This window comes from Homo sapiens, chromosome 13 (genome assembly GCF_000001405.40).
Source record: "Homo sapiens chromosome 13, GRCh38.p14 Primary Assembly".
Lineage (NCBI taxonomy): Eukaryota > Metazoa > Chordata > Mammalia > Primates > Hominidae > Homo > Homo sapiens.
In genome coordinates, this window is record NC_000013.11 from 84,869,612 (window position 1) to 84,881,666 (window position 12,055).

The 12,055-nt window shown below is 37.6% G+C and overlaps 1 long non-coding RNA gene across 5 annotated transcripts in view; it reads right to left on the reverse strand.

Annotated features, from left to right (window-relative positions):
* Nucleotides 1-2,102: 2,102 nt before the first annotated feature.
* LOC105370290 (uncharacterized) overlaps nt 2,103-12,055 on the reverse strand; it is a 30,721-nt gene continuing 20,768 nt past the window's right edge. For 4 of the 5 annotated variants that reach the window (XR_942139.2, XR_007063930.1, XR_007063931.1 and 1 more), the window contains 3 exons: nt 11,990-12,020; nt 6,462-6,786; nt 2,488-5,209 (listed from right to left, as the gene is read on the reverse strand). This is a non-coding gene — a long non-coding RNA (uncharacterized LOC105370290). Of the gene's footprint in view, nt 2,464-2,487; nt 5,210-6,461; nt 6,787-11,989; nt 12,021-12,055 lie in introns of those variants that run through there. The other variant, XR_007063929.1, reaches the window with a different exon arrangement.

The window sequence follows — 12,055 nt, forward strand, 5'->3', positions numbered from 1 at the left end:
TGAGCAAGCCACCAACTCTGGTCCCCTGGACCCACCTTTTAAATGGTTATTCTGTCTCTTTCTAACTCTTGTCTCTGCCAGACTTGGGATACCTGCTGGGTGGTATGGGGCTGGTTTCCCCAACATCTGGTGCCCAACGTGGGGCTCCCCATAAACTCTACAAATAATCAGGTGAAGAAATACCAGAGCATGGAAAGTGGAGGACGACTGACGAAGGATGCTTGAGTACGTTTTTCACTTCATGCTCTATGGGTAAGTAGGGCCCTCAGAGAATTCCAGGGTAACCTCAGGAAAATATGGGTCAGGCTGAAGGTAAGTTTGCTAATTATTTAAGCCTGGTGCAGCAGTTATTGCACCGCAGGGGGTGGTAATTGTGAGTACCCAAAATCTCACATCTTTGTTCCATCTCATAGAAAAGTATTCTCCTTGGTTCCTGGAATACAGAACCATGAATGTAAAAGATTGGGACAAGGTCAGAACAGACTTAAAACGAGCACAGTAAGAGGGCCATGATATTCCCTTCTCCACTTGGTCTGTGTGATCGGCAATTAAAACAGCATTGGAGCCCTTCCACACTGAGAAGGAGGATGAGGAGTTTCAGGATGACAGAAAAGTTTAATAATCGGGAGTCTGATGATCAGCAAAGTGAACCATCACAGTCTAGTTTAAAAAAGGGGGAGAAACGGGAAGCTATATATGCTAACCTCCAAAAACTTATCAAAGAAACAGTTCCACCTACTGCAGAAACAGTGCCACCTACTGCGCCTTTAGGGGAAGGTCCAGAATGGCCACTCCCACCTCAGCCTTATGAATTTTTGGAACAGGAGCCTGAGACGCGGCTTGCCACTCCCATTGTTGCATGCCCCACCATTAACTATGGTGAAGGAAAGCTTCAGGCTTGCCCAACAGCCAGTTACGGTGAGGGAATGATCCAGGCTTGTCCACCTGTTAATTATGGTAGAAGAATGCTGCAAGCTGGCCCAAATACAAATTATGATGCAGGGATAATCCAGGCATCCATTCACCAGGCACGAGAAATGGGGGATTTGGATGGTTGGCAGTTTCTGGTAATTATTTCGCCAGCTGAGAAGCCTGGAGAACATGCTCAAGCATGCTGGTAGCCATTTCCTTTTAAAATATTAAAAGACTTAAAGCAAGCAATTGGACAATATGGGCCAGATTCTCCTTGTGTTCATTCCTTGTTACAATCTGTGACTTATAACCGGCGTTTAAAACCCATGGATTGGGAGTCATTAGCCTGATCAACCCTGTCCCCCTCTCAATTTCTCCAATTTAAAACCTGGTGGATGGACGAATCAACAAATCAGGCATGCAGAAATGCTCAAGCCCAAACTCCCGTTAATATCACATCTGATCAACTGCTTGGAATTGGACAGGCATGGGGTACTCTAAATCAACAGATGGTAATGGGTGATGAGGCTGCTGATCAGCTCAGAACTATATGCCTAAGAGCCTGGGAAAAAATTCACTACCCTGGTACTACTTATCCTTCTTTTAACTCAGTTCGACAGGGTCCAAGTGAGCCTTATCCAGATTTTATCACCCATTTGCAAGATGCGGCTCAAAAGGCTATTTTGGATTCTCATGCCAGGTAAGTGATCATTCAGCTGCTTGCTTATGAAAATGCAAATACATAATGTCAGGCAGCAATTAGACCTATTAAGGGAAAGGCAGATCTAAATGAGGAAAAAACATTAAGTGAATACATTAAAACCTGTGATGGCATTGGGGGGCACTTATAAGGCCAGTCTCCTTGCTCAGGCAATGGCTGGACTAAGGGTAACAAAAAACACATGAGTGTTCCCTGGATCTTGCTATAATTGTGGAGAGATAGGACATACGAAGAGTGTACAAAGAGCCAAAAAAGGCAAAACTCAGGAGGAAAAAGCAGCGAACCAGGTACCTGTCCTAGATGTAAGAAAGGAAAACACTGAGCTAATCAATGTCATTCAAAGTTTGATAATAGCAGACAGCCCTTGCCGGGAAACAGACAGAGGGGCCAGCCCCAAGCTCTGATTCAAAACGGGGCATTCCCAATTCAGGACAGGACATCCCTGACTCCAAACAGAGTGTTCCTGGCACAGTCTATCCCTGTACAAATGTACAGCAATTGTCCTCCTCCACAGCTAAAGGCAGGGCAGTAGATTTATGCTGTACCAAAGCTGTATCCCTCCATCCTGGGGAGCCTCCTAGGAAGGTCCCAACGGGAGTTTACAGCCCATTGCCAAATGGCATGGTGGGACTTACACTGAGAAGGTCCAGCTTAAACTTAAAGGGAATTCAAGCACATACTGGAGTAGTACTTACATACTGATTCTTGTTAACTTATGGGGGAGAGATCTGCTTCAGCAATGGGGCACAGAAATTTCAATCCCTTCTCCCTGGTATGGTGAAGCTCATCAAAAAATAATGTCAAACATGGGCTATATTCCTGGAAAAGGCCTAGGAAAACAGGAGACGGGCATTATTGGACCCATACAGGTTACTGTAAAAAATGACCAAAAAGGATTAGGTTACCATTTTTAGGGGTAGTCATTGTTGGGCCTCCAAGTCCTATTCCCTTAAAATGGAAGACGCAAAATCCTGTTTGGGTTGAGCAGTGGTTGCTTTCTCAGGAAAAATTGGGGGCCTTACAGGAATTAGTCAAAGAGCAATTAAACAAATGAAACATTGAGCCAACATTTTCTCCATGGAATTCGCCAATGTTTGTAATAAAGAAAAAAGCTGGCAGATGGGACATGCTAAGTGACTTACAAGTGGTCAATGCAGTCATCCAGCTGATGGGGGCCCTGCAGCTGGGGCTTCCTTCCCCCACCATGATTCCTAGAGACTGGCCATTAATAATTATAGATGTGAAGGACTGCTTTTGAAGTATTCCTCTAGCAGAGTCTGATTTTGAGAAATTTGCTTTTACTATTCCTGCCGTGAACAACAAGGAACCAGTAGCCAGATATCATTGGAAAGTCCTGACACAGGGCATGTTGAATAGTCCTACTATTTGTCAAACTTTTGTGGGGAAGGCTATTCAACCTGTGAGAGATCAGTTTCCCAATTCGTATATCATTCATTATATGGATGACATATTGTGTGCGGCCGAAAATCGAGACCGACTTATCCAGTGTTATTCATATTTACAGGAGGTGGTAGCCAATGCTGGGTTGCTCATAGCACCAGATAAAATTCAAATGGCCACTCATTTCCAATATTGGAGAATGCAGGTTCAGGAAAGGGCAATTAAACCCCAAAAGGTTCAAATTCAAAAAGACTCTCTGAAAACTTTAAATGATTTTCAAAAATTATTAGGGGATATCAATTGGATTCAACCTACTTTGGGAATCCCTACCTATGCTATGTCTAATCTGTTCTCTATTTAAGAGGAGACCCTGCTCTCAATAGTAAATGAGAACTGACTCCTGAAGCTGCCAAAGAATTACAAATGATTGAAGAAAAAAATACAACAGGCCCAGGTTAATAGAATAGACTCAAGTTTACCATTACAGTTCATTGTGTTCCCTACTCTCCATTCTCCTACAGGGGTTATAATTCAGAGTGAAGACTTAGTTGAATGGTCTTTTCTGCCTCACAATACTGTTAGAACACTCACAGTATACTTGGATCAGATGGCAATCTTGATTGGGCAAGCTCACCTTAGAGTTGTTAAACTTTGTGGCTCAGATCCAGATAAGATTATAGTTCCAAAGATTAAAAATCAGATTTGGCAAGCCTTTGTTAATTCGGTCGATTGGCAAATAAATTTAGCTGGATTCATTGGAGTTATTGACAATCATTATTCAAAAAACAAACTTTTTCAGTTTTTAAAGCTAACAACATGGGTCCTTCCAAAAATTACCCCTAGTGCTCCATTGGAAGGAGCAGTTAACTGTGTTTACAGATGGATCTAGCAATGGAAAAGCAGCTTATGTAGGACTCAAAAACAGAATTATTCACACTGACTTTCAATCAGCACAGAGGGCTGAATTAGAGGCAGTTATAGCTGTGTTAGAAGACTTTAAGCAACCTGTAAAGATTGTCTCTGATTCAGCTTATGTTGTTCAAGCCACTCAATATATAGAAACTACACTCATTAAATATCTTGTGGATGAACAACTCTATCAGCTGTTTTCTTCTTTACAAAAGGCAGTGCATGATCGCTGTTTTCCTTTCTATATTATGCACATTCAAGCAAACACTAATCTTCCTGGGCCCTTGTAAGGGATAACGATCAAGCTGATTTACTAGTTTCCACTATGCTTACTAATGCCCAAGATTTTCACTCCCGAACACATGTTAATGCAGCAGGACTTAAACAAAAATACCAGATTACTTGGAGACAGGCAAAGGACATTTTGCAACATTGCCTTCAGTGCCAGGTACTACAACTGCCACATGAAGGGACTGGTGTTAACCCATGGGGATTAACCCACAATATGTTGTGGCAAATGGACATAACCTACGTACCTTCATTCAGGAAACTTTCATACGTCCATGTTACTATAGATACCTTTTCTCATTTTGTATTGGCAACTTGCCAAACAGGTTAGGTGGTTGCTCATATTAAAAGACATTTACTTTCCTGTTTCGCTGCCATGGGCATCCCACAAAAGATTAAAACAGACAATGGCCCAGGCTACTGCAGTAAATCTTTACAAGTGTTCCTTCAACAATGGCACATTGAGCACAGTACTGGAATACCCTATAATTCTCAAGGCCAAGCCATTGTTGAACAGGCTAATCGAACCCTAAAATCTCAATTACAAAAACAAAAGACAGAGGGGGGAACCAGAGAATACTCTACTCCCCATATGCAGATACAATTGGCTCTTATCACTTTAAATTTTTTGAATTTATCTAGAGATCAGGTTACAACGGCAGCAAAGCAGCATTTGACAGGGCAAAAAATAAATTCTCATGAGGGAAAACATGTGTGGTGGAAGGATGTCAGAACCAAAACCTGGGAAAAAGGCAAAATCATTACAAGGGGTCAAGGGTTTGCTTGTATCTCACCAGGAGAGAATCAGCTTCCTGTCTGGGTACCCACAAGACATCTTAAGCTGTGCCATGAGCCAGAATCCAAGGAAGAGGAAAAGACCTCGGAACATCCCTGCACCCCCAGTTCGTCAGATGGCTCAGAAGAACGTCTCTGTTGAGCAGATGGAAACTGTAAAGCTCGCCAAGCAACTCCACCGACCTGGGGGCAGATGAAGAGAGTAGCTCCCATTGCAGAAGAGAACCTGAGGTCTCAGAACAAGCCACTGACCATCAGTAATCTAATGGTAGCTATGATGGCAGTAATCTCCCTGGCAGTGAGTCTCGCCGTAGCTGAGACAGATCAAAATTACACTTATTGGCCGTACGTTCCATTCCCACCACTGATTAGGCCTGTTACATGGTTAGACTCCCCGGTGGAGGTTTATGTTAATGATAGTGTCTGGATGCCTGGACCAACAGATAAACGAGGTCCTACTCATCCAGAGGAGGAAGGAATGTTAATGAATGTTTCCATTGGTTATCACTTTCCTCCCATCTGCCTAGGGCTGGCAGCAGGATGTTTAAATTATAATAAACAAAGTTGAATGGTTTATGTCCCTGCACATAATGGATCAAAAGCCTCTATTCATGCAATCAGTGGAAGAACATTTCAATCTTGGGACACTACAAAATACCTTGAGCACAGCTATGTTATGACACATCACCAGATTAATAAATTTAAACCTAATAAAAAGCCCTGCCTTAGGCAGGCCACTAAATTGTCTGGAAAGCTAGAGGGGCTAACCTGGGAAGATTGTATTGCAAACAGCGCTGTTGTACTGCAAAATAATTCCTATGGAATCATCATTGATTGGGCCCCTAGGGGACGCTTTGCAGTAAATTGTACTGGACAGCATGAAGATTGCAGAGAGATTCCTTTTGCAAATGACTACCCAGATAATGCACCAAAATTATATAGAAGAATTGAAACAAATTACTCTATTAAGTGGGAGGAGAACGGTATGGCTCTTCCAAGACCGAAAATGATTGATCCAATTATAAGTCCAGAACATCCAGAACTATGGAAATCAATGATGGCTCAAACCCCAATTCGGATTTGGAAAGGAGAAAATAAAACAGAAACCCATAGTAAAAAACTTCGATTTGTTGTAGCCATGACCTCTAATCGGACAGTCCCATTGCAGAGTTGTGTTAAACCTCCTTTTAGGTTGGCAGTGGAAAAAATTAATATCCTACCTGACTCTCAAACCATATCATGCCTCAATGGTCATCTTTTTTACCTGCATTAATTCTACCTTTAATAAAGATAATAACATTTTACTGGTTAAGTCCTGAGAAGGAATTTGGATACCTGTTTCCCTCAATAGACCTTGGGAGGCCTCTCCTTCCATACATATTATCACTGAAGTACTAAAAGGAATACTTAATAGATCAAAGAGATTCATATTTACTTTAATAGCTGTGATCCTGGGCCTTATAGCTGTTACAGCTACTGCTGCTGCTGCTGTTGCTTTGCACTCTTCTATTCAAACTGCAGGCTTTGTGGATAGTTGGCAGAAAAATTCTTCTAAGCTTTGGAATTCCCAAAGCCAAATAGATCAAAAATTGGCAAATCAAATTAATGATCTCTGTCAAACAGTAATTTGGATGGGAGATTGGATTATGAATTTGGAGCATAGAATTCAAATGCAATGTGATTGGAATACTTCTGATTTTTGTATTACTCATAGCTCCTATAATGCCACTGAGCACCATTGGGCGATGATTAGACATCACCTGCAAGGAAAAGAAGATAATTTAACATTAGATATTGCTAAACTGAAGAAAACAAGTTTTTGAGGCATCTCAGGCTCATCTCACCCTGTTGCCTGGAGCTGACATTCTTGCTGGAGCCGCTGATGGCCTTTCTAATACCAATCCTTTAAAGTGGAGTAAAACCATAGGTAGATCAACAATTGCAAATTTTATTTTGGTTTGTGTCTGTTTATGCTGTTTGTTTTTAGTCTACAAATGCGGACAGCGCCTTGGGAGAGAAGCCAGATACCGTGAACGAGCCATGGCATAGCAATGGTGGTTATTAATTTAAAAAAAAAAAAAAGACAAAAAAGGGGGACATGTGGGAAAGAGAGTTTCTGGGATGCCAGTTGAGTTGGTCTCCCCTGTGTGAGACACCCATGGGAAGCCATGGGCAGCCTCTGAGGAGAAAAGTCTCCTTATTGCCTTCATGTCTTTATGCCCCAAGAACATAACCGCTCAGCGGCATTCCACAGGTTGCTCAGGGAGATAAAACTCCCTTGAAGCAGTGAAGTATAATCAAACATCTTGGCTCCTCCTGAAACCATTCCCACCCATTTCATTCCCAATAAGTTAAAGATCTTAAGTAGTTTAGACACACGCCTTTGCTCAAGGAAATTCACAGAAACTGCCACTGCTATACATCTTATTGAATGACTCAGAGTTCTCCTTCACTGATTAATCCTTTTCCTCATCCCTTCCTCCCCCTCCCATCTGCCCTAAGAACAAAGAGCTTGTAAACCAATAAATTAGGGGGATTCCTGAGAGCTCTGGGCCATGAGCAAGCCTCTAATGCTCCAGTTCCCTGGACCCACCTTTTAAATGCTTATTCTGTCTTTTTCTAACTCCTTTGTCTCTGCCAGACTCAAGGTACCCACTGTGGTGTGGGGCTGGTTTCCCCAACATTATTTTACTCTTTTGTTAGTTCAGTCTCTGCAATTGATTCCTGTTCTGCTCGATATTGGATCAAAAATCCTCATGAATACGTCAGCTCTCCATGAGAGCCCTGGAAAATTTTCTGTCTATTCCAATGTTACAATCTCTAAAATTATGAGAAACCTATATTTAACAGTGATCCTTAGACTTCTATAGCTGGTTATAAACTGCCTTGTTAAAGGATTAAATTAAAATGTCTTAGAACAGCTATAGTTAAAGATACAATTGACAAGGAAATTTAGTTCTGTGTCATTCAACTATTTTACATAATAATTATAATTACTATTGATAACATATACTAAGACATATTAGAGTCACAGGAATCTCATATAATCTTGCAATAAATACTACTAACACATTTATATAAATATAATCCAAAGATGGTTAAACATCATTTTATATTTGACAATGCTTCCTATATGATTTTATTACATCAAATAAGCCAAACATTTATTTTTGGACTTCAAGGGACCTACTAACAAAAAATTAATGAGGTCAATAGGACTGAATTTAGCACGTGATTTTAGAAAGTTCATCAAACATAAAAAGTTTAAAACACTTGACATCACAGAATAGGATCACAGGTCACTGTAAAATAAGTCATTCATTTAGCCAAAGTAAAAACTCAAAGATTTCCCCCTAAAAAGCAAAAACCTTTATTATTTGAGACAGGAGAATTAATTTCCCAAGCAATAAGCTCTAATAAAAACACCATGAGACTAGTTGAATCTGTCTCTCAAATGTTATAAACAAATCTATTTAATTTTAATTACCTTGACCCTAAGATATAATTTCCATAAATCTTTTTATAAAATTTTATACTTTTTTTAAAGATTTGGTTAATGCTCCAAGAAAGGCTTATTATTCTGACTCAGGGGCCTATATGCTGCTCTTGCATCAGTGTGCATTTGATATTAATGTTAAATTTATAGAGAAACTGAGTTAATTTTATCTCTCAAAATGGGCTATTACAATCTCATGTGACTACCTCTTCTGCAATAGTATCTGGGTCTACAGGGGTTCAATAGTTTTAATTTCTGGCTCTCTGTCTCACAAAGGCAGTTTATTTTGATTGTCATCATCTCTCAGTTCTGATGAAGGCTTTAACTGCTGTGAATGCTTAATATTTAGCAGTACTTGGTGTCCTTTTTAGACCCAGGAGTCAAAGTACTGTAATGTAATAGCACAGGACTCTAAAAGCAATACAGAAAGTTACATGGATATAAAAGGCTTAATTTTTTAAAGTTTTTAATTATTTGTTTTTAAGTTATAATTTGTTTTAATTTAAGTTTTCCTAGGGAAATCAAAACTTAGTAAAAATGACATAGAAATTATTTCAACAAAACATAAAATTTATTTGTTACACCAGTTACAAAAAGGCAAAAAAAGAAAAAACAAGAAAAGTCCTTCTGCAGTGTGATTGCTTGTCTTTCCCTATGGGGAGTTCATTTAGATAACTTGGAAGTCAAAACTAATAAAAATGATACTTGAATTAGTCAAACATAGGAAGAGTGTATCCTGGGGCATAAGTGGAGCTTTTTTGTTTCGTTAAAGCCAAAGGCACAGAATGTTATGTTGAAAGAAGATATTTCCTTTAGAGCTTTAAGATAAAACATTTTTCGCATCAGGCCGCAATAGCAGTTAGAACCCGAGAGAAAAAATTTGAAGGAGTTATTATTTCATGTTTTCTCAAATGGGGGAGAAAACTGAAAACAATGAGATGCAATAAAAGTCGAAATTTGGGGTTAAAATAAATTAAATCTCTTGTAATTTTATTACGAGCAAATAAATAAGACAATTTTGGTGTTCCTACCAATTCTTTAGTGTGTTAGTGTATTTTTAATATCAAAGCCCAATATTTAGAAACACTTTTATAAATAATTTCCTTTTATTATAGCCAATGTGTTCATTTAAAGTTTTCTTTCTCATAAATTCTCTTTGTACAAATCTGATCATGACTTACACAAACCATTTGCATTATACTCAGACTTCCTGTTTTATCCTAAGCATCCCTCTCTCCTAAATAACCAATTATTTTACTTTAGGACAAAAATTATCTTACAAGATTATTTCCCATACACAATTATTTTCCTTTTAACCTTTACTAGCTGAAACGCCTCTTTATATTTATAACTTTCTTTGCATCTCTCTTATTTATTGGTTCCTTTTACTTTGTTTCATAAGTAATCTTTAAATAACTTTTGAATTAGGCAAAAATTATTTTCCTTTAAATAAGAACACATTTAAAAAATGATTTCCTATAATTTTTAAAACATTGGAAATGACCCAGACATTTAATGACCATCTTTTATTTAGTTTAATATAATTTTAGATTCTAAATAATATGACAAATTTATTTATAAGCATTTATTCCATTACATTTACCTGATTAATTTATTTTTAATAGTTTACCGTAGATTACTTATGAAAAATGTGATAGTTATTATTTAAAGTTATTTTCCTGTTAACCATTTGTATATCCTGTGAATTTCAGGTGTTTACTTAAGAATAATAAGGTTAAGTAATTCTTTTTGTCAATAACTCAAGATTTAGCTGTTTGTATTGAACAAGCAATATTAAATGCCTTATTTATAAAAAATGACACAAATAAAGATAATTCTCTTTTGGGCTGCATTTATAGCTTTATAACCCTCATGGCAAATTTTGACAGCTTATAATATCTAGCAGAGATAAATTTAAAACTATTTGACCAATAAATCTAAACAATAATGTATGCTGACAATTCTGAAGACATTTCTAATTTTATTTTACCAACGAGCTTACTTATTAAATATTAATTTAAGTCAGGTAAACTTAAAATGGATTTGGGCTTAAAGCCTCTATTTTTCTGATACAGCATTTGATTTAAGCACTTTTTTTTCTTTACGCCAATGAATTAGAGCTCTTTTTAATATTTTTTGTAGTGAAACATATACATGACATACATTATATATTAAATAAATACACAGATATATTAGATATGCAGGTAGAAGTACATCTTATAGATCCACAAGACCCTTTTCTTTTTCTGCTATTTTAGACTTTCAATTTCTTGATAATCTGTTTCATTACTCCAGGCAACTGTAAGCTGGAGAGCCCTAAATTTGCTTACTTAAGTAACAACTCTTAGGTGAAAATCAGATAGCAAAATTCACACTTCAAAGTACAGAGAGATAGAGGAGAGAGAGATAGAGAAGAGAGAAAGAGAGTCTGTTGTATGAGAGGGAGATTAAAAATAGATGCCAAATCAAACATAAAATTCTATCTTCCACAGGATTGTATAAGAGGACCAATTTTATTTAGTAGGTAGTTTTAAATTTAGTCTCTATCTTTTAACTGGATCACTGGGCTCTGAGCAAAGCTCCCACTGAATCCCAGGTCTGCAAAAAAAGGGCTGTCATGAGATTAAGCCACGTGATGCTTTTACACTGCACTTTGTTATAAAGACATTTCTCTGTCTAAACCACACCCTTTCTTATCTTAAACAATCAAGAGTAGCCCCTGTTGTAATAATTATTTAAGTCCAAAAAAATCATATAACACAATACAAAAACAAGTAGTTGAAGATCTGAGAGGAGCTTTTCTTTTTAAACTTTTGGAGTTTACGTAAGGAAAGACAAGGGTTTCTCTCCGAAAAGGAGTCTGGGAAAATAATGATTCCTCAATAGACTATAAAAGAAACTGGTAAAATGGTTTCTTCTGATTACATGGAAGAAAGATCACGGGCATAACGACTTTATAGTTCTTGTGTAAGAAATTATAAAACAAAACATTAGTATTCTGTGCTGCTTACTATTGAATGCAAAAAGGAAAACATGAAGTATTAATTTTAAGCTTGTTTTAAAATGGGAGTCCAAAACCATGACAATTTAAAGAAGCATTTGCTTCTCATACCCAATTTTTAAAATATTAAAATGAAGAAAGCCCTTGAGTTATAAAACAATTTAACCATTCTTATATTAATGATGAAATATCATTAATATTTCATCAATATCAAGTGTGATTTCAAACAATACCGCACTTATTGTTTAAACCTCTGTGCAAAATAAGAGTCTCAGATTAAAGAATAATATGGTTTTCAGCTAATCTTTTCTTTCCATTGGACAAAAATACCTTAGGAGATAAAGCTAATCATCTGTGCCATGCTAACATTGTGAGCCCAATATATTTGTGATAGATCCATAAAGAAGGCATAGAGATGAGAAAGCAAAGATGTATATAAATACAAGAAGCAGACTATAAATCTTACCATGAACATGATTATTTTCTCACAGTGCTCTCTGCAATCAAAGAAAAATAAAAGCCAATTAAAATT